Source organism: Homo sapiens, chromosome 17 (assembly GCF_000001405.40).
Source record: "Homo sapiens chromosome 17, GRCh38.p14 Primary Assembly".
In the NCBI taxonomy this organism is placed as follows: domain Eukaryota; kingdom Metazoa; phylum Chordata; class Mammalia; order Primates; family Hominidae; genus Homo; species Homo sapiens.
The window spans coordinates 2537238-2560774 of record NC_000017.11 but is presented as its reverse complement, the minus strand read 5'-3'; the positions used below and the strand labels follow the sequence as shown (position 1 = coordinate 2560774).

Genomic DNA, 23537 nt, shown 5'->3' with positions numbered 1-23537 from the left:
TGTTTTCCTAAGATCCTGGGAGTGGTCAGACATCGGTTTACTCTACTCTGACTCCAGTTCTGGGGATGATTATTCCTCTTTTATTTATTTATTTTTTTATTTTTTGAGGCGGAGTCTTGCTCTGTTGCCCAGGCTGGAGCACAGTGGCGCAATCTCGGCTCACTGCAACCTCCGCCTTCTGGGTTCAAGTGATTCTCCTGCCTCAGCCTCTTGAGTAGCTGGGACTACAGGTGCCCACCACCACGCTCGGATAATTTTTTTGTATTTTTAGTAGAGGGGTTTCACCGTGTTAGCCAGGATGGTCTCGATCTCCTGACCTCGTGATCTGCCATGCTCGGCCTCCCAAAGTGCTGGGATTACAGGCGTGAGCCACTGTGCCCGGCTATTTTTTTTTTTTTTGTTGTTGTTTTTTAGTAGAGGCAGGGTTTCACCGTGTTAGCCATGATGGTCTCCATCTTCTGACCTCATGATCCGCTGCGCTGGGCCTGATTCTTCCTCTTAAGTAAAGCACACCAAATGACGTATCCAAGGACAGCTGGCAGGTCCACAGAGCTGCTGACCTGGGTGTGACATTCCTCAGGCTGGTCCCAGCTATCTCTGATCTGACTTGGTCAACCCTTCCTCATGGTCCGCAGCCCACTTTCTAGGAATTCACACACAGTGACTGCTGCAATTATGTAGTTCAGTCCAACATGCGGTAAATAATTACTGTGTGCAAAAGTTCATCCATAAAAAAGTTTGTGGGGCTGTTTTGTTTCTGTTTTTGTTTTTGTTTTGAGATAAGGTCTGGCTCGGTTGTCCAGGCTAGAGTGCAGTGGCGTGATCACGTCTCACTGCAGCCTCCTCCTCCCAGGCTCAGGTAATCTTCCCCCAGATCCTCCCACCATGGCCTCCCGAGTAGCTGGGACTACAGGCATCCAGCTAATTTGTGTGTGTTTTGTAGAGACAAGGTTTTGCCATGTTGCCCAGGCTGGTCTTGAACTCCTGGGCTCAAGTGATCTGCCTGCCTCGCCTCCCAAAATGCTGGGATTACAAGTGTGAGCCATGGCACCTGGCCTCACAAAAATGTTTGGAGATAGTGGTGATGGTTGCACAACATTGTGAATGTAATTAAAGCCACTGAATTGTACACTTTAAAATAGTTAAAATGGCAAATGTTATATATATTTTAACACAGCATTTATTTATTTATTTATTTATTTTTGAGACAGAGTTTCCTTCTTGTTGCCCAGGCTGGAGTGCAGTGGTGCTATCTTGGCTCACTGCAACCTCCAACTCACAGGTTCAAGCGATTCTCCTGCCTCAGCCTCCCAAGTAGCTGGGATTACAGCAGCCCACCACCATGCCTGGCTAATTTTTGTATTTTTAGTAGAGATGGGGTTTTGCCATGTTGGCTGGTCTGGTCTTGAATTCCTGACCTCAGGTGATTCACCTGCCTCGGCCTCCCAAAGTGTTGGGATTACAGGCATGAGCCACCGTGCCTGGCCCTATTTTACCACACTTTAAAAAACAGTTTTATAGCCGGGGGCACTGTGGCTCATGCCTGTAATCCCAGCATTTTGAGAGGCCGAGGCAGGCAGATCACGAGGTCAGGAGCTTGAGACCATCCTGGTCAACATGGTGAAACCCCGTCTCTATTAAAATACAAAAAGTTAGCCGGGCATGGCGTGGCATATGCCTGTAGTCCCAGCTACTCGGGAGGCTGAGGCAGGGGAATCGTCTGAACCTGGGAGGTGGAGGTAGCAGTGAGTGGAGATCGTGCCACTGTACTGCAGCCTGGGTGACAAAGCAAGATTCTGTCAAAAAAATAGTTTTATAAAAAGTTCATCCAGGCCGGGCGCGGTGGCTCATACCTGTAATCCCAGCACTTTGGGAGGCCGAGGCGGGCGGATCACGAGGTCAGGAGATCGAGACCATCCTGGCTAACACGGTGAAACCCCATCTCTACTAAAAATACAAAAAATTAGCCGGGCGAGGTGGCGGGAGCTTGTAGTCCCAGCTAGGTGGGAGGCTGAGGCAGGAGAATGGCGTGAACCCCGCCAGGGGGCGGAACCTGCAGTGAGCCGAGATCACTGCCACTGCACTCCAGCCTGGGCGACAGCGAGACTCCGTCTCAAAAAAAAAAAAAGTTCATCCACAGATAAACAACATTTGATCCCAGCCTCTAAGATATCCTGGGGTTGAGAGATGGCAGCTGCCTTCCAGATGGATGGAGCTACTAGCCAGGAGAACCAATCTAGCCCTCTAATCTCCTCACTAAAACCCCTTCAGTGGCCTCCCATTACTCTTGGGATCTTTGGCAAAAGCCTTGACAGGCTTATGGTGCCCTGTGTTGTCACCTTTCCAACCTCATTTCGTGCTGATCCTCTACTTGTTTTTTCTATCCCAGCCACCCTGGTCTTTCTTCTCTTCCTTGGAACACAGCAAGCTCCTTTCTACCCCAGGACTTTTGCATAGGACTTTTCCTTTGCTTGAAAACCCTTTCCTCCTCACTCTATTGCTAACTCAACCCAAGTGTCATTTCCTCAAAGAAGCCCTCCTGGTATGGGTCAAGTTCCGTGTTACATTTGCTCATAGAACTACATCTTCCTGTTACAGTGGCAAACCACAGAAAAACTCCAAATAACAGGGGCTTACACAAAATTAAACCTCATTTCTTTTGCACTTAGAAGTCCTGGGTGCTGGGCATGGTAATGCCTGCCTATAGTCCCGGCTACTTGGGAGGCTGAGGTGGGAGGATCACTTGAGTCCAGGAGTTCTGGGCTGTAGTGCACTGGGCCAATCAGGTGTCCACACTAAGTTCAGCATCAATATGGTGACCTCCAAGGAACAGGGGACCACCAGGTTGCCTAAGGAGGGGTAACAGGCCCAGGTCAGAAACGGAGCAGGTCAAAACTCCTGTGCTGGCCGGGCGCGGTTGTTCACACCTGTAATCCTAGCACTTTGGGAGGCCGAGGTGGGCGGATCACCAGAGGTCGGAAGTTTGAGACCAGCCTGACCAACATGGAGAAATTCCATCTCTACTAAAAATACAAATTAGCTGGGTGTGGTGGTGCATGCCTGTAATCCCAGCTACTTCGGAGGCTGAGGCAGGAGAATCGCTTGAACCCGGGAGATGGAGGTTGCAGTGAGCCGAGATGGCGCCATTTCACTCCAGCCTGGGCAACAAGAGCAAAACTCCGTCTCAAAAAACAAAACAAAAAACAAAAACAAAAAAACTCCTGTACTGATCAGTAGTGGGATCACACCTGTGAACAGCCACTGCACTCCAGCCTGGGCAACATAGTGAGACCTCATCTCTAAAAAAAAAAGTCCTGGGCCTCATGGTGCCTAAGAGCCAAGCTGCTGCTGCTTTCTCCTTCTTCCCCTTCCTCTTCATCTTCCTTCTTCCTTCTTCTTTCCTCCTCCTCCTTCTTCTTCTTTCTTCCTTCTGTTTTGAGACAGGGTCTTGCACTGTTTCCCAGGCTGGAATGCAGTGGTGCAATCATAGCTCACTGCACTCCAGCCTGGACAACAGAGCTGAACCAGCTCAAGAGATCCTCTTATCTCAGTCTTCCAACTAGCTAGGATCACAGGTACACACCTCTGTGCTTCACTATGTTTTAAATTTTTAGTAGAGAAGGGGTCTCACTATGTTGCCCAGGTTGGTCTTGAACTCCTGGGCTCAAGTGATTCTCTTGCCCAAAGTGCTGGGATTACAGGTGTGAACCACGACACCAGCCCCACGGGCTTCCTTTATTTTCTTGCTCCAATATACATGGTTTTCATTCTCAAGGTCGCTTGATAGTCCAAGACAGCAGCTGGAGCTCCAGCCATTATGTCCACATTCCCACAAGTGGGAATAAGAAAGAGGAAAAACGGGCAAGCCTCCTCCCTTTACAGACATCTCCTACAAGTTGAACATCCCACTTCTGCATATGTAGGACTGGCCAGAATTTAGCCACAAGGCCACATCTGGTTGCAAGAAGCCTGGAAAATGTAGTCTTTATTCTAGGTACCCATATGTCTATGTAAAAATCAAAGGTTCTATTACTCATAAAGAGGGACAGAAGGAACACTGAGGTACTGCTAGAGCCTCTGCCATCAAAGCATTTGTTTTATTCATTTTGTAATCACACATTCATTGAAAGGTGATAATTCAACTAACATCTTTTTCCCTCACTAGACTATAAGCTCCATGAGGGCAGGGCATTGTGTGCTTTTGTTTATTGTTGAATCCCCTGTGTCTAGCATGGTACTTGGTGTATAATGGTCATTCCTGAAAGATTTGTGGGCTGAATGTGGAAAGGAGGGTTTTTTTGTTTACAGACAGGGTGTCATTCTGTTGCCCAGGCTGGAGTACAGTGGTGCCATCATAGCTCACTGCAGCCTTGACCTCCAGGGTTCAAGTGATCTTCTTGCCTCAGCCTGCGGAGTAGCTGGGACTACAGGTGCATGCCTCTACGCCTGGCTAATTTTTTTTTTATGGTAGAGACAGAGTCTCACTATGTTGCCCAGGCTAGTCTTGAACTTCTTTCTGGGCTCAAGCAATCCTTCTACCTCAGTCTACCAAAGTGCTGGCATTACGGATATGACACACCATGCCTGGGTGCTCTGGGTCTGAAGTCCGTGCCATTAACCATCACTCAAGTCTGTTGGAGGACTAGGCTGCAAGGTGGTAAATTTCATCTCCCCTAGGCCTTTCTAATAGTACCAGGCTATCTCTGTGGCCCCCAGTGCAGCCTTGGCACCTCAGGCCAACTCAGCCCAATAAAACCCAGAGTTTTCCATTACAACTAAACCACTGTCCTACTGAGCAAGATTAAGAGAGGAAAACATCAGTGCTCACATCTACTAGGATGGCTATTATTTAAAAGAAAAAAACAAATGCCACACAGTGGCTCACATCTGTAATCCCAGCACTTTGGGAGGCCAAGGCGGGCAGATCACTTGAGGCCAGGAGTTCGAGACCAGCTTGGCCAACATGGTGAAACCCCACCCATCTCTATTAAAAATACAAAAGTTAGCCAGGCATGGTGGTGCACGCCTGTAGTCCCAGCTACTCAGGAGGCTGAGGCACAAGAATCGCTTAAACTCGGGAGGTAGAGGCTGCAGTGAACTGACATTGCGCCACTGCACTCCAGTCTGGGCAACAGAGAGAGACTCTGTCATAAACAAACAAACAAACAAACAAATAAATAAATAAATAAATCGAAAGAAGAAAGGAAGGAAAGGAAAGGGCCAGGTGCAGTGGCTCCTGCCTGTAATCTCAGCACTTTGGGAGGCTGAGGCAGGTGGATCACCTGACGTCAGGAGTTCGAGACCACCCTGGCCAACACGGTGAAACCCCATTTCTACTAAAAATACCAAAAATTACCTGGGTGTAGTGGTCGGCGCCTGTAATCCCAGCTACTCAGGAGGCCGAGACAGGAGAATCGCTTGAACCCGGGAGTGGGAGGTTGCAGTGAGCCGAGATCACATCATTGTACTCCAGCCTGGTTAACGAGAGTGAAACCCCGTTTCAAAAAAACAAAAAAAAACAAGTGTTTGCTGGGCCTGGCGGCTCACGTGTGTAAGCTCAATGCTCTGGGAGGCCAAAGCAGGAGGATTACCTGAGACTAGGAGTTCAAGACCAGCCTGGGCAACATCGTGAGATCCTATCTCTAAAAAAAAAAGAAATAAAATAACAAGTGTTGGTGAGGGTGCGAAGAAACTGGAACCCATGTGGATTCTGTGGGAATGTAAAATGAGGCCGCTGCTGCAGGAAACAGTACAGTGAATCCCTACAAAACTAAGTGTGGAATTACCATCCAACCCAGCAATTCCACTTTTTTTTTTTTTTTTGGTGGAGTCTCACTCTGCTGCCCAGGCTGGAGTGCAGTGGCGCCACCTCAGCTCACTGCAGCCTCTGCCTCCTGGATTCCAGTGATTCTCCTGCCTCAGCCTCCCGAGTAGCTGGGATTACAGGAACGTGCCACCACGCCTGGCTAATTTTTGTGTTTTTAGTAGAGACGGGGTTTTACCATGTTGGCCAGGCTGGTCTTGAACTCCTGATCTGAGGTGAACCTCCCACGTCAGCCTCCCAAAGTGCTTGGATTACAGGTGTGAGCCACCACGCCCAGCCTCAGTAATTCCACTTCTGGGTGTAGACCCAAAATAATTAAAGCAGGGACCGCAACGTATATTTGTTCACCTACATTCACAGCTGCATTATTCACAACAGCCAAGTAGAAGCTACCCAAGTGTCCATCGACAGGTGAATGGACACACAAAATGTGGTAGATTCATACAAGGAGATACATTAGTAAGCCTGAAAATGTGAGAAAATTCTGGCCCACGCTACAACATTGAAAACATCATGTGAAGTGAAATAAGCTAGTCACAAAAAGAAAAATGTTTTATGATTCCACTTATATGAGGTTTCTAGGGTAGTCAAAATCATGGGGACAGAAATTAAGAGGGTGGTTTGTGGGCTGGGGGGAGGGGAGAATGGGGAGTTAGTGTTTAATGGGTGCAGTTTCAGGGGAGGATGATGAAAAAGTTATGGAGACAGATGGGTGTGATGGTTGTACAACTAGGAATGTACTTACTGCCGCTGAACCATACACTTAAAAATGGTTAAATGGAGGCTGGGTGCAGTGGCTCATGCCTGTCATCCCAGCACTTTGGGAGGCCGAGGCAGGAGGATCACTTGAGGTCAGGAGTTTGAGACCAGGCTGGCCAACACGGTGAAACCCCATCTCCACTAAAAATACAAAAATTAGCCGGGCATGGTGGTGTGCACCTGTAATCCCAGCTACTCGGGAGGCTGAGGCAGGAGAATGCTTGAACCTGGGAGGCGGAGGTTGCAGTGAGCCGAGATGATGCCACTGCACTCCACTCCAGCCTGGGCGACAGAACAAAACTCCGTCTCAAAAAAAAAAGCATCTGCAGCCCTGTCTGTCGGAGGAAGACGGGACTGTCGAGCTGCGGGGCTGAGGGTAGGGCAGTGGCAGGAGTCCTTTCCTGCCCTAGGAGTCATAGTCATTCAGCCTGCATGGGCAGGGTGTCCCGTTCTGTTACTGTGCTTGACAACAACGTGGTCCAACCAAGATCAGCCCATGTAGCAGGGATCCTTTTGACATCACTAGAAAGAGAAAGCCAAAGCATTGCCACATCTTTTTTCTGGTTATTGGAGGGCATTTGTTTAAATGACATTTAATTTTTTTTTTTCTTTTTTGAGACAGAGTCTCGCTGTGTCGCCCTGGCTGGAGTGCAGTGGCGCGATCTCGGCTCACTGCAAGCTCCACCTCCCGGGTTTACACCATTCTCCTGCCTCAGCCTCCCGAGTAGCTGGGACTACAGGCGCCCGCCACCATGCCCAGCTAGTATTTTTAGCAGAGACAGGGTTTCACCGTGTTAGCCAGGATGGTCTCAATCTCCTGAACTCGTGATCCGCCTGCCTTGGCCTCCCATAGTGCTGGGATTACAGGCGTGAGCCACCGCGCCTGGTCTTTTTTTTTTTTTTTTTTTTTTTTTTGAGATAGAGTCTTGCCCTGTCTCCCAGGCTGGAGTGCAGCGGCTCGATCTCAGCTCACTGCAACCTCTGCCTCCTGGGTTCCAGTGATTCTCACACCTCAGACTCCCAAGTAGCTGGGATTACAGGCACCTGCCACCATGCCCAGCTAATTTTTGTATTTTTAGTAGAGACAGGGTTTCGCCATGTCGACCAGGCTGGTCTTGAACTCCTGATCTCAAATGATCCGCCTGCCTCAACCTCCCAAAGTGCTGAGATTACAGGCATGAGCCACTGCACCTGGCCAAAATTTTTTATCTTTAATAAAATCATATAGGAACTGAGTTTTTAAAGAGTCCAATAGAAGAAAAAGGCTTAGAGGAAAGACAGCCGCCTTCTGCTCCCCAACTCCCTACCCAAGTCCTGCTTCTCAGATCCAACCACTTTGAACTCCTTTTTAGCTATTTTTTTCTGGTATTTATCCCCATATCTCCAATAACAGGTTTATATCAGCACTTCTTAAAATTTCAGTTGCAGATATTACCAATGGGCTTCCTTGGAGGAACTTGAGGATTTATGAACTTGGAGGATTTAACTGTCTTACCTCACCTCTTTCCTTGCCTTCTCAACATCTTTTTTTTTTTTTTTTTTGAGATGGAGTTTCGCTCTTGTTGCACAGGCTGGAGTGCAATGGCATAATCTCAGCTCACCACAACCTCCAAGGCCTCCCGGTTTCAAGCGATTCTCCTGCCTCAGCCTCCTGAGTAGCTGGGATTACAGGCATGCGCCACCACGTCCGGCTAATTTTGTATTTTTGGTAGACACAGGGTTTCTCCATGCTGGCCAGGCTGGTCTTGAACATCCGACCTCAGGTGATCCGCCCCCCTCAGCCTCCCAAAGTGCTGGGATTACAAGCATGAGCCACCGAGCCCTGCCCTTCTCAAGGTCTTTTAACACAATTTTGGCTAAAGCCTTATTTAGTGTCTTCCTTATGATGGCTATGTAGGTATCAGTGACAACTACATGTATTTCCCTTTTGTTTTCCCTGGAGTGAACGTCTTCTTTTTTTCACGTGCTCAGCTTTGTTGGAATCTGTGAGTCTTCCCACACTCTCCAGCAACTCTGTAAACCCGTCCTAATCCAATTTTCCGCATAGTCAAACTTGCCGGCTAGTTCCTCGGTTCTGTGTTTTCTTTGTGGGCCCCTCTGCAGCCCCTCACCCCACCTGGACAGGCTGCTCTCCCAGCCGCCGCAAGGTTCCCTTGCTGAAACTTTCCTTTGCTGTCCTCCTGGGAACGCCAAAGAGAATTGTTTTATAACTATTTTTATACCTTTCAAAAGCCCTACCTGTTCATTGTAGAAAAACTAAAAAGGCACAAGAAAGAAAAATAAAGGTGATATATAATTTTTCTACCCAAACATAACCATTGACATTTTGGTAGATATCTTCTTGGTCTTTTTCTACACATTGGTATACATCAAAGAGGGTAGAGCGTGGGGGAAGCAGGGGGGGAAATGCTATTTTGAAAACAAAGCTCAGGGGTGCTGCATTCCTGCCCCGGAAGAGCAGCAGGAAGATTCCGCTGTGGAGGCAAATAGCTTGTCGGGCCTCATCCGTAGATGAATAGCAAAAGTGCCGCCTGCCCCAGGACACGGTTAACAGAGCACAAGCAGAGAAAACGTTTTTGAAAAAACAGAGGAATCAAATGCTTTGCCAGGAGGCAGTGGTAGGAATTAAGACGTTGAAGACCCACAGCATGCAAGGGATGAAGTGTCTAGAGTCGCATAGTCCACTATGGTAGTCACTAGCCTCATGAAGCTATTTATTTATTATTAATTAATTAATTATTATTTTTTTTTGAGATGGAGTTTCACTCCTGTTGCCGAGGCTGCAGTGCAATAGCATGATCTCGGCTCACCGCAACCTCTGCCTCCCGGGTTCAGCTGATTCTCCTGCCTCAGCCTCCTGAGTAGCTGGGATTACAGGCATCCGCCACCACACCCGGCTGATTTTGTAAAATTTTTTGTATTTTTAGTAGAGATGGAGTTTCACCATATTGGCCAGGCCAGTCTTGAACTCCAGACCTCAGGTGATCCACCCTCCTCAGCCTCCCAAAGTGCTGGGATTACAAGCATGAGCCACCGCACCCAGCCTATTCTTTAAAGATAGAGTCTCACTCTGTCAACCAGGATGGAGTGCAATAGCACAATCTTGGCTAACTGTAGCCTCCACCTCCCGGGTTCAAGCGATTCTCCTGCCTCAGCCTCCAGATTGGCTGGGATTACAGGCATGTGCCACCACGCCCAGCTGATTTTTTTTATTTTTAGTAGAGACGGGGTTTCACCATGTTGGCCAGGCTGGTCTCGAACTCCTGACCTTAAGTGATCCGCCCTTGAGGTGGAAATATCTTCATTTGACACAGCAGGCATGTGAAAAAATAAATAGGCCTGGCACCGTGGCTCACGCCTACAATCCCAGCACTTTGGGAGGCGAAGTGGGAGGTTCGATTGAGCCCAAGAGTTCGAGACCAGCCTAGGCAACATGGTGAAACCCCATTTTTACCCAGGAGGACGAGGCTGCAGTGAGTGAGCAACACCTGGGCACTCGAATCTGGGTGGCAGAGCAAGACTCTGTTGCAAATAACTAACTAAATGAGACATATCTTCAGGCAAGAGAATGGCAGGTGGTTATTTTGGACAGTGATGTCCAATGTTCAATTTTGAGCCGTATTGCACACTGTAGTGTGTTGTGGTTCTCTACCTCAAATCTTCAGTAAAGGCCAGGGGCGGTGGCTCATGACTGTAATCCCAGCATATTGGGAGGCCAAGGCGGGCAGATCACTTGAGGTCAGGAGATCGAGACCAGCCTGGCCAACATGGTGAAACCCCATCTGTACTAAAAATACAAAAATTTGCTGGGTGTGGTGACATGCTCCTGTAGTCCCAGCTACTCAGGAGGCTGAGGCAGGAGAATCGCTTCAACCGGGGAGGTGGAGGTTGCTGTGAGCCAAGATCGTGCCATTGCACCCCAGCCTGGTGACAGAGCGAGACTCCGCCTCAAAAAAAAAAAAAAAAAAACACACTTCAATAAAGTCTGCTGCACACGTGGTTTGAGAGAAATGGTAGAGTGTTTGGGAGGAATGAAGGAATGAGGTGGCACAGTGAGAAACAGCATGGTGGGAAAGTAGAATAGGAGTGACAGAGTAAAGACTGAGAACCTCCAAGCATTCAACAATGAGCTAGCTCCTTGAAAAATCTTAGGAATTTTTTTTTCCTTTGTAGAGACAGGGTCTTGCTCTGTCACCCAGGCTGGAATGCAGTGGTGCCATCACAGCTCACTGGAGCCTTGGCCTCCTGGGCTCAAGCGATCTTCCCACCTCAGCCTCCTAAGCAGCTGAGACTACAGGTGTGTGCCACCACTCTCAGCTAATTAAAAAAAAAATGTTGTGTGTGGAAATGGGGTCTCACTGTGCTGCCCAGGCTGGTCTCCAACTCCTAGGCTAAAGCGATGCTCCCACCTCGGCCCCCCAAAGTGTTGGGATTACAGGCATTAGCCACTGTGCCTGTTCTAGGCACACATAATCTATGCAACTGAAAGATTACCAAGTCCCTGGAAGGGCGAGAGGAGCAGACTCAAGGTTTGCTTTCAGGAATGACTCCCAGAACACTCCCAATGGAGTCATTATCTGTCACCCACAGGAACGCTGAGTTGTAGGACATTCTGTTCTAGCGACAATCCAGGTACCAGGAAGCTGGGCCCAAGAGGTTGCTGCCACCCACCGCCCCCACCTATACACTAGAATGTGGAATTCTGCCACTGCTACCTCCACAGTTTCTCTCAATATCCTCAAACCTGGAGACTTGACATGGGCATCTCATGGCCTTCTTGCCAAAAGCAAACAGCTGAGAGCAAAAAGAACACAGCACGACCTCCTTCCCTTCCCCTCCCTTCCCCTCCCTTCCCTTCATCTCGTCTCTTCTAGTCTCTTTCCTCCCCTCCCTTCTTCTTCTCTTCTTTTCTCTTTTTTTTCCTGAGACAGAGTTTCACTCCTGTTGTCCAGGCTGGAGTGCAGTGGTGCGATCTCGGCTCACCGCAACCTCCGCCTTCTGGGTTTAAGTGATTCTCCTGCCTCAGCCTCCCGAGTAGCTGGGATTACAGGTGCCCACCACCACACCCAGCTAATTTTTGTATTTTTAGTAGAGGTGGAGTTTCACCATGTTGGCCTGGCTGGTCTTGAACTCCTGACCTCAGGTGATCCACCAGCCTCGGCCTTCCAAAGTGCTGGGATTACCGGCGTGAGCCACCTCACCCAGCCCACTTCCACTTTTCAGATCTCGAAGGAATGCATTTATTAATAAGTATCAACCTAGAACCCAGGCTGCGCCCAGAATCCAAGCTGCATGCAATCTGGGAAGGGCAGCTTTCTCCTTCCAGCCTCCACAGCACAGAAAGGCCCGCTGGAAGAGCTGCCGAGGCTCACCCTACGCCATCCAGCAGAGGCTGGTCACCTCTAGGAAATCTCACGGTCTCTGTTATGCGCAGAGCTATTTTTGTCCTTCCTACTTTCTATAGTCCTTTCTTCTAATAATAAAAGGTTTTCCTTTGAGGAGCCACCTCTCTCCTACTTGCAATGCATATGGTTGGGTGCAGCTGACACCATGCCCCAGTTCCAGGGGAGTGCACAGGTACCTACCCTGGGTAACTAGTATACTCCATCTCCTGCCTGTAATCCCAGCACTTTGGGAGGCCAAGGCAGGTGGATCACCTGAGGTCAGGAGTTCAAGACCAGCCTGACCAACATGGTGAAACCCCGTCTTTACTAAAATACAAAAATTAGCTGGGCATGGTGGCAGGTGCCTATAATCCCAGCTACTCAGGAGGCTGAGGCAGGAGAATCACTTGAACCCAGGAGAAGGAGGTTCCAGGGTGCAGAGATCACACCACTGCACTCCAGCCTGGGCAACAGAGTGAAACTCCGTCTCAAAAAAAAAAAAAAAAAAATTAGCTGGGCGTGGTGGCACATGCCTGTAATCTCAGCTACTCAAGAGGGTGAGACACAAGAATCGCTTGAACCTGGGACGTGGAGGTTGCAGTGAGCTGAGACTGCGCCACTGCACTCCAGCCTGAGCAACGGAGCAAGACTCTGTCTCAAAAATAAATAAATAAACTGTAGCAGGACAAGCTGCAGACAAAACCCCTCAGACACCAAGTTAAAGAAGGAAGGGCTTTATTCGGCCGGGAGCTTCTAAAGACTCACGTCTCTGGTTCACTTGTTTATCTGCTGACCGTCCCTCCACTATTGTCCTGTGACCCTGCCAAATCCCCTTCTGCGAGAAACACCCAACAATGTTCAATTAAAAAAAAAAAAAAAAAAGACTCACGTCTCCAACAACTGAGCTCCCCGAGTGAGCAATTCCTGTCCCTTTTAAGGGCTCAAAACTCTAAGGGGGTCTGCGTGAGACGGTCGTGATAGATTGAGCAAGCAGGGGGTACGTGACTGGGGTCTGCATGCACCGGTAATCAGAACGGAACAGAACAGGACAGGGATTTTCACGGTGCTTTTCTATATAACGCCTGTAATCTATAGATAACATAACCGATTAGGTCAGGGGTCGCTTTTCAACCAGGCCCAGGGTGTGGCGCCGGGCTGTCTGCCTGTGGATTTCATTTCTGCCTTTTAGTTTTTACTTTTTCTTTCTTTGGAGGCAGAAATTGGGCATAAGACAATATGAGGGGTGGTCTCCTCCCTTAAAACTAGTATACGCCATCTCCTATTCTCGCTTGGTGTGTAATTCCTCAAAGAATATGTGAAGGGACATGATAGCATATCCCTGGAGACAGCCAAGAAGGGCAGGGATAGCCGTTTATCTCGGACTGCTGGGATATTTACCAACCTAGAAGCCAGGGGCAGAATACTATGATTCACTGTCATTTTCTGCTCTAAGATTTGGCAATTGTCCAGTCTCAGTAATCCAGATGAGCCAATTATTCAACAGCTATCTTTCAGAATTTCTTTTTTTTTTGAGACGGAGTTTCACTCTTATTGCCCAAGCTGGAGTGCAGTGGTGCAATCTCGGCTCTCTGCAACCTCCGCCTCCCGGGTTCAAGCGATTCTCCTGCCTCAGCCTCTCCAGTAGCTGGGATTATAGGTGTGCGCCACCATGCCTGGCTAATTTTTTGTATTTTTAGTAGAAACGGGGTTTCACCATGTTAGCCAGGCTGTCTTGAACTCCAGACCTCAGGTGATCCGCCCGCCTTGGCCTTCGAAAGTGCTGGGATTACAGGCGTGAGCTACTGCGCCCGGTCTCTTTCAGAATTTCAAACTGTCTACAAAGAAGACAGTCCTGATTTTATTTTTATTTTTTGGAGACAGTGTCTCATTCTGTCACCCAGGGTGGAGTGCAGTGGTGTGACCATAGCTCACCGTACCCTTGAACTCCTGGGCTCAAGTCATCCTCCTGCCTCAGCCTCCTGAATACCTGCGACCACACGTGTACACCGCTGCATGTGGCTAATTTTTTTTTTTTTTTTTTTTTCTGAGACGGAGTCTCGCTCTGTCGCCCAGGCTGGAGTGCAGTGGCGCTATCTCGGCTCATTGCAAGCTCCACCTCCCGGGTTCATGCCCTTCTCCCGCCTCAGCCTCCCGAGTAGCTGGGACTACAGGCGCCCGCCACCACGCCCAGCTAATTTTGTTTTTGTATTTTTAGTAGAGACAGGTTTCACCGTGTTAGCCAGGATGGTCTTGATCTCCTGATCTCGTGATCCGCCTGCCTCAGCCTCCCAAAGTGCTGGGATTACAGAAGTGAGCCACCATGCCCAGCCTATTTTATTTTATTTTTGAGACGGAGTCTCGCCCTGTTGCCCAGGCTGGAGTGCAATGGCATGATTTCGGCTAAGTGCAACCTACACCTCCAGGTTCAAATGATTCTCCTGCCTCAGCCTCCCAAGTAGCTGGGATTACAGGCGCCCACGACCACGCCCAGTTAATTTTTGTATTTTTAGTAGAGACGAGGTTTCACCGTGTTGGCCAGGCTGGTCTCAAACTCCTGACCTTGTGATCTGCCTGCCTCAGACTCCCAAAGTGCTGGGATTACAGATGTGAGCCACTGCGCCCGGCCTAATTTTTGTATTTTTAGTTCGAGATGGGGTTTCACCAAGTTGGCCAGGCTGGTCTCAAACTCCTCGCCTCAAGTAATCCACCCGCCTTGGCCTCTCAAAGTCCTGGGATTATAGGCGTAAGCCACCGCGCCGGCCAGGACAGATGATCTCTAATGGCAAAGCTCTGAGATCGTGTTTGAGCTCATGATCCAAAGTCACCAAGAAGGTGTCAGCTCTAATGTTTTTCTGGGGGAGTAAATCAGAAGGGAAAGTGAATGCTCTCAGTTAAAGAAGGGGCTTGCTCCTGAGATCTTTGGGCGCTTCCTGTATTCATGGGAGTCTTCCTGTCCATTTGTTTCCTTCTTGCTCTCAAACTTAAGGCTTCAGGGCAGGAACTGGCACATGTGAGACCCAAAGCCATTCTCATGATCAGGACCTTGAATTCTGCTGAGTCCTGCCGCGGTTAGAGTCCAAGGGTTGAAGACCAGCCTTTCCCAGCGGCTGATCAGGGCCTTTTACCGGCCCAGCCCAAGCGACTACTTGGCAGTGGACTTTGTGTAATCTATTGTTAGTTGCCCCAGAAGTGCCACTTTGGCTGACACCCTCATCCACACCAGGCCCCACAGCCCACAGGGCCTGTGACCTCTGAGTCTGTCTGTCGTCAAGGGCAACTCTCCTAGAGGATTTTCCAGGCTGAGCCACTTAAGAGAGGTGTCACGAGGGCAAGCCTCACTTCTGAAAAGAATGTTGACTAGGGAAGCCTGATGGGAAGAGAAGAGGGGCATGTGGGAAGAAGCAGAGGCAATGAGTGGGGGAGGAGAGTGAGGAATTCTGGAGTTACCCAAAAGGAAGAAAAAGGCTTGAACTTACGAAATGAAACAAAGCATGGCTTCCAAGAAATCTAGTTTGGCCCAGGAAGATCCTTAAGTGAAAAATAGATTAAAATGTGGTTGGGCGCGGTGGCTCACGCCTGTCATCCCAGCACTTTGGGAGGCCGAGGTGGGCGGATCACCTGAGGTGGAGAATTCAAGACCAGCCTGGCCAACATGATGAAACCCCCATCTCTTCTAAAAATACAAAAAAATTAGCCAGACACGGTGACATGCACCTGTAATCCCAGCTACTCTGGAGGCTGAGGCAGGAGAATCTCTTGAACCCAGAAGGTGGAGGTTGCAGTGAGATGAGATCGTGCCACTGCACTCAGTCTGGGCGATAGAGCTTCGTCTCAAAATAAATAAATAAACAAAAAAAGATTAAAATGTACAGAATGTCACATCATGTTGTACACAATAAGTACATACAATTTGTTATTTGTTTTGCTTTTTATCTTTTTATTTCTTCAAAGTGGTTTTTTGTTTTGTTTTGTTTTGTTTTGTTTTTAGACAGAGTCTTGCTCTGTCGCCCAGACTGGAGTGCAGTGGCAAGATCTCAGCTCACCGCAACCTCCGTCTGCTGGGTTCAAGTGATTTTCCTGCCTCAGCCTCCTGAGTAGCTAGGACAACAGGCACATACCACCACTCCCAGCTAATTTTTGTATTTTTAGTAGAGACGGGGTTTCACCATATTGGCCAGGCTGGTCTCGAACTCCTGACCTCATGATCTGCCCGCCTCAGCCTCCCAAAGTGCTGGGATTACAGCTGTGAGCCACCACGCCCGGCCTTGTCATAATTTTTAATGACTGTAAGATATTTGATTATGTGAATGTACTATACATATATATGTATATGTGTGTGTGTGTGTATACACATATATGTATATATAGTAGGAGTTTTGCTCTTATTGCCCGGGCTGGAGTGCAATGGCACGATCTCGGCTCACAGCAACCTCTGCCTCCCGGGTTCAAGCGAATCTCTTTCTTCAGCCTCCTGAGTAGCTGGGATTACAGGTATGCACCACCATGCCTGGCTTATTTTGTAATTTTAGTAGACACGAGGTTTCTCCATGTTGGTCAGGCTGGTCTCAAACTCTCAACCTCAGGTGATCTGCCTGCCTTGGCCTCCCAAAGTGCTGGGATTACAGGTGTGAGCCACTGTGCCTGGCCGGAAGTACTATTTTTAACAATCTTCTGTTGCTAGATATTTAAATCATGTCTATTTTCAACTATTATAAACATGCTTCTTTAAACTTCCTGGCATATATATATATCTTTGCACATCTGTCCAATTATTGCCTTCAGATGAATTCCTAAAAGTAGAGGTGCTAGGTTAAATTTTTTTTATGCATATTGACATACTGACCACTTTTCCTACAGAAAGATTGTACCAATTTATTTTCCACCACCATGACTCATGCCTCATCCCCCTTTAAGTTAACAGCTTTGGTACTTTTTGTATTAAGACCATGGCTGGCTGGGCGCTGTGGCTCCTGCCTGTAATCCCAGCATTTTGGGAGGCTGAAGTGGGAGAATCACTTGAGGTCAGCAGTTTGAGACAAGCCTGGCCCACATCTTGAGATCCTGTATTTACAAAAAGTTTAAAAATTAGCTCAGCTTGGCGGCCTCTGCCTATAGCCCCAGTTACTCAGGAGGCTCAGGTGGGAGGATCACCTGTGCTCAGGAGTTCCAGGTTGCAGTAAGCTATGATGGCACCACTGCACTTCAGCCCCTAGGGGACAGAGCTCCTCCTCAGCCTCCGGAAGAGCTGGGACTACAGGCGCCCGCCACCACGCCCGGCTAATTTTTTTTTTTTTTTGTATTTTTAGTAGAGACGGGGTTTCACCATGTTAGCCAGGATGGTCTCTATCTCCTGACCTCGTGATCCGCCTGCCTCAGCCTCCCAAAGTGCTGGGATTATAGGCGTGAACCACCGACCTTTCTTTTTTAACATCATAATTGCATAAGTTTTATCCTTTGGCTCAGCAATTCTACTCATGGGAAAAATTTTAAAGAAAATATCCGGATTACATGCACAAAAAGAGTTTATGCTGAGGCTCACTGCAAATTGTAATCACTTTGTATATGATTATATACACATAAAGAGTTCATACAGGCGTGGTGGCTCAAACCTGTAATCCCAGCACTTTGGGAGGCTAAGGCAGGTGGATTGCTTGAGGTCAGTAGTTCGAGACCAGCCTGACCAACATGGTGAGACCCCGTCTCTACTAAAAAAAAGTACAAAATTAGCCGGGCGTGGTGGCTCACGACTGTAATCCCACCTACTTGGGGAGGCTGAGGCAGGAGAATCACTTGAACCCAGGAGGCAGAGGTTGTAGTGAGCCAAGATGGCGCCACTGCACTCCAGCCTGGGCAACAAGGGTGAAACTCCATCTCAAAAAACAAAACAAAACAAAAAAAACAAACAGTTTATGCCGATAGACTAGATTTTTTTCTGGCTGTCTGAGCAAGCCAATTGCTTTGGACAATCATCACTGTGTCCGGGTGGATTGGAAAGGGCGCCCTTAATTGTCTGAGTCTGTGCTCCAACTTTCTTACTGAGGGAGGAGGGGCGGGTGATGACTTGCAGCTCTGCGGACGGCACAAACCACCGTTGTTCAGACACCCACAGTCTGCACCCTTCTCCTTTTTCACAGGGGGAACCACCTGCCTATGCTGCTGTCTTTACCATCAGCCTCCCCAGCCTCACTTTACCTTCCTCAATGACATCAGGTCTTGGCTCATACACAGCTCTCTGCTCCACCCTGTCTGCCAAAGGTCACTGGTGACATGTGCCCAGATAATTTTGCTGCATTATTTATGAGGCAGGATAATAATTTAAGATGATAACGAGTTTCTTCTTTCCCTTTCTCAAAATCCCTTTTAATCCAAGGCCACCATCCCTCCTAGGATAGAACCAGATAAAAAAAGTCAACAACATCTTGGTTTTTAAACTCACAAGCTGTGCATTCAAGAGTGAGACCAAAAGACTCAGGAAGAGGAGAAACAATTCTCCGCACCTCCGCTCCAGATAAGGTTTCATTAGAGAGGGAAGACAGGTGGGGCATTGGAAGAGGAAGCGAAAGAACAGGAACTGCGCACCCAGCCCCATCTGAAGTTCAATAAACCTCTTTTAAGTGGATTGAAAAGATCTTGATTCCTGGGGAAGCCCCAGGAGGGCAGTAAGCCCCAGAGGCAGATCTCCTACCATGATGGCATGGACACTGTGGAATAGAAATGGTAGCTTGGCATGTCTAGGCTTGAGATTAGAAACAGATTCTTGGCCGGGCACAGTGGCTCACGCCTGTAATTCCAGCACTTTGGGAGACCGAGGCAGGTGGATCACGAGATCAGGAGTTCGAGACCAGCCTGGCCAACATGGTGAAACCCCGTCTCTACTAAAAAATACAAAAATTAGTTGGGCATGGTGGCAGGTGCCTGTAATCCCAGCTACTGGGGAGGCTGAGGCAGGAGGATCACTTGAACCCAGGAGGCAGAGGTTGCAGTGAGCCAAGATCATGTCATGGCACTCCAGCCTGGGCGACAGAGCAAGACTCTGTCTCAAAACAAAAACAAAAAGAAACAGGTTCTTCCAGCTTCTACATTCTACTTCTTTAGAGAGGGGCGATCTCATGGCTGTGATAAGAGAATGCCACATGGATGGATGAGGATGTGGCTACACAGCAGGTTATCCACACTCAAGGCAGATCCTTCCTGCCTCCCACTCACACATTCCCTCAATGCTGCCTTCCTACCTTCTTCTACCCCAGCCTGAGACAGACAGGGATGGCTCACCTGGTATACCTGGAACAGGAGACCACCATGGAACGAGGCTGACAAAGATCAAGAAGCCTCCCCATTGGCTCTTTGGTGACATTTACATAACTCCCTCAGCAACAGAGTGGTGAGGACTTGAGAACAGCAGAATCTGATTAAGACAGTTTACCTGGGCCGAGCACGGTGGCTCACACCTGTAATCCCAGCACTTTGGGAGGCTGAGGTGCCTGTAGTCCCAGCTACTCGGGAGGCTGAGGCACGAGAATGGCATGAACCCAGGAGGCGGAGCTTGCAGTGAGCCGACATCGCACCACTGCACTCCAGCCTGGGTGACAGAGCGAGACTCCATCTCAAAAAAAAAAAAAAAAAAAAAAATATATATATATACACACACACACACACACACACACACACACACACACACAAACACTGAGTTTACTTGGAAGTGACTTGATTATGTTCTTTGCTTCCAGAGACCTGGGGCTTAAGAAAGACATTTAGTTCAGTTATAGAAAAATAAAGTCCATGCAACTGTGAAATTTGAGTCTCCTTTGATGACAGTGAACAAATGGAAAAGCGGGGATCCAACAATAACCCTGCAGTATTAAGCAAGGTTTTTTGTTGTTGTTGTTTTCTTTGAGACGAGGTCTCACTCTGTCGCTCAGGCTGGACTGCAGCGGCACCATCTCAGATGACTGCAGCCCTGAGGCTTCCCAGGCTGAAGCGATTCTCCTGCCTCAGCCTCCTGAGTAGCTGGGACTACAGGCATGTGCCACCACGCCTAGCTAATTTTTGTATGTTTTGTAGAGACAGGGTTTTGCTATGCTGCCCAGGTTGGTCTCAACCTCCTGGGCTCAAGTGATCTGCCTGTCTCAACCTCCCAAAGTGCTGGGATTACAGGCATGAGCCATTGTGCCCGGCCTATGCAAGTATTTAATATTTACAAATACTACACACTAACATAGAAATCTTTATGATACAGTGTTATGTGAAAAAGCAGGACGTGTGTGCCCTTATAAATTACAACAATGTTTGTCTTTTTTTTTTTGAGATGGAGTCTTTCTCTGTCTTCCAGACTAGAGTGCAGTGGCACGATCTCGGCTCACTGTAACCTCTGCCTCCCAGGTTCAAGCGATTCTCCTGCCTCTGCCTCCTGAGTAGCTAGGATTATAGGCGCCCACCACCATGCCCGGCTAATGTTTGTATTTTTAGTAGAGACTGGGTTTCCGCATGTTGGCCAGGCTGTTCTTGAACTCCTGACCTCAAGTGATCTGCCTGCTTGGGCCTCCCAAAGTGCTGGGATTACAGGCATGAGACTGCACACGGCCTAAATTATGACAATGTTTAGAAGAGGCTGGGCATGGTGGCTCGTGCCTGTAATCCCAACACTTTAGGAGACCAAGGTGGGAGGATCACTTGAGCCAAGAAGTTTGAGACCAACCTAGGTAACAGAGCAAGACCCCGTCTCTACAAAAAAAGAAAAAAAAAACAGCTGGGCATGGTGGCACACACCTGTAGTCCCAGCTACTCAGGAGGTTAAGATGGGAGAACCACTTGAGCCCAGGAGTTCAAGGCTGCAGTGAGCTATGATGACACCACTATACTTCAGCCTCAGTGACAGAACGAGACCTTGTTTCTATTAAAACAAAACAGGGCCGGGCGTGGTGTAATCCCAGTATCACGCCTGTAATCCCAGCACTTTGGGAGGCCGAGGCGGGCGGATCACGAGGTCAGGAGATTGAGACCATCCTGGTTAACACGGTGAAACCCCGTCTCTACTAAAAATACAAAAAATTAGCCAGGCGTGGTGGCGGGCACCTGTAGTCCCAGCTACTCAGGAGGCTGAGGCAGGAGAATGGCATGAACCCGGGAGGCAGAGCTTGCAGTGAGCAGAGACTGCGCCACTGCACTCCAGCCTGGGGGACAGAGCAAGACTCCGTCTCGAAAAAAAAAAAACAACAACAGACCAGGTGCGGTGGCTCACGCTGTAACCCCAACACTTTGGGAGGCCGAGGTGGGCAGATCACGAGGTAAAGAGATAGAGACCATCCTGGCCCACATCGTGAAACTCCTTCTCTACTATAAATACAAAAATTAGCCAGGTGTAGTGGCACGTGCCTGTAGTCCCAGCTACTCAGGAGGCAGAGCCAGGGAAATGTTTTGAACCCTGAAAGCGAAGGTTGTAGTGAGCCTAGATCATGCCACTGCACTCCAGCTTGGCAACAGAGCCAGCTCTGTCTCAAAAAAAAGAAAAAAGAAACCACAAAGCAAAACAAAAGAAGCAAAAGCAATGTTTAAAAGAAAACCCTCAAAACATAGTTGAAATAAAATTTGGGACTAGACCAAAATGTTAAGTGGTTGTCTTTGGGAAGCTGTGGGTAATTTTTTTCCTCTATGAACATGTAGGTGTGTATGCATGTATGTGTGTATGCATGTACGTGTGTATGCATGTGTGCATGCATGTACGTGTGCATGCATGTATGTATGCATGCATGCGTGTATGCGTGCATGCATGTGTGCATGTATGCACGTATGTACACACGTATTTATTTTTGAGACAGCCTGAGATCTGTCGCCCAGGCTGTAGTGCAATGGCACGATCATGGCTCACTGCAGCCTTGACAACGTGGGCTCAAGCGATCCTCCCACCTCAGCCTCCTGAGTAGCTGGGACTATAGGCACACACCACCATACTCGGCTTGTTTTTTAATTTTTTTGTAGAGACAGGGTCTTGCCATGTTGTGCAGGCTGATCTTGAACTCCTGGCCTTAAATGATCCTCCTGCCTCAGCCTCCCAAAGTGCTGGGATTACAGGCATGAGCCACCATGCCCAGCCCATGTATTTCTTTTTGCAGGCTGAGTATCCCTTATCTGCAATGTTTGCAACCAGAAGTGTTTCAGATTTCAGATTTTTTTCCAGATTTTGGAATATTTGCATTATATTTATGTGTTGAACATCCCAAATCCAAAAATTCAAAATCTGAAATGCTGCAGTGAGCATTTTCCTTGAGTGTCATGTTGGTGCTCAAAAGTTTTGGATTTTGAAACATTTCGGGTTTCAGATTTTGGGATTTGGGATGCTCAACCTGTAATGAAATGTATGCATAAAATATATATGTATTATATATTTAACATATACATATTTAAATATGTACTTGTGTGTTATTTTAAGCATGGTTTGGATCCATGGCCTAAAGCTTCGAAGAAGCTGGAGAAAAGCAGGGTAAAAGGGATTATGCAGGCCCCGTTTAGTATCATCCTGCTCAGTCAGTCATCAGTTGTCTCCTTCCTCTTGCTTCGTAGGTAAATGTTGGGTGATGTCATGGACAGCACGAACCAAGAAATGGCAGACCGTGATGAATAGGAGCCTTTGTTCATAGGAAAGACAGGAAACCCACGTACTACTTTACATTTTAAGTCAGGAGTTCTCAAAGTGTCATCCTCAGATCAGCAGCCTCAGCACTGCTTGTTAGAAATGCAACTTCTCGGCAGGGCACAGTGGCTCATGCCTGTAATCCCAGCACTTTGGGAGGCCGACGCAGGTGGATCACGAGGTCAGGAGATTGAGACAAGCCTGGCCAACATGGAGAAACCCCATCTCTACTAAAAATATAAAATTAGCCGGGTGTGGTGGCACATGCCTGTAATCCCAGGTACTCAGGAGGCTGAGGCAGAAGAATCGCTTGAACCCAGGGGGCGGAGGTTGCAGTGAGCCGAGATCGCACCACTGCATTCCAGCCTGGGCAACAGACCAAGACTCCATCTCAAAAAAAGAAATGCAAGTTCTCTGGCTCCAGCCCAGACCCACTGAATCAGCAACTCTGGGGCTAGGACCCAGCAATGTGTATTTAATATTTAATAAGCCTTCCAGAGAATTCTGCTAAAGTTTGACAATGACATTCTTTTTTTTTTATCAAGTTTTTTCAGTAAACTTATTTTTTTAGTAAACAGTTTTATATTTACAGAAAAATGGCAAAGATGGTAAGTACAAAAAGTTCCATATCCTCTGCACTCAGTTTCCCTATTAACATCTTACATTTGGATAACTGCTTTTCTGATTAATAATCATGGAATAGCTGGCTTTAGTCACTGGAGTAGATACCAATATGGAGGCTGGAAGGAACTAAGAACTATGTTTATCATCATTTTTACCACCACCTCTACCATGAAGTGGTGATATGTTATTCATATAATTATTCCTATTTTATTTGAATTATTTATTTCATTTGATTCTCAATATATGCCTGTGAAGTAGGCCAAGGAAGTTATCCCCACCTTACAGCTGAAAAAAACTGAGGACCAGAAAGATCACACAA

At 48.0% G+C, this 23537-nt stretch overlaps 1 pseudogene, besides 1 other annotated feature; it reads left to right on the top strand.

The window, feature by feature from the left end:
* RN7SL33P (RNA, 7SL, cytoplasmic 33, pseudogene) lies at nucleotides 2681-3022 on the top strand (annotated as a pseudogene).
* Nucleotides 9483-10229: an enhancer, noted in NCBI's record as "H3K27ac hESC enhancer chr17:2453840-2454586 (GRCh37/hg19 assembly coordinates)". NCBI's record gives its function as "activates a minimal SCP1, AML or CMV promoter by ChIP-STARR-seq in primed H9 embryonic stem cells {active_cell/tissue: H9 hESC(primed)}" and the evidence as "EXISTENCE:reporter gene assay evidence [ECO:0000049][PMID:30033119]".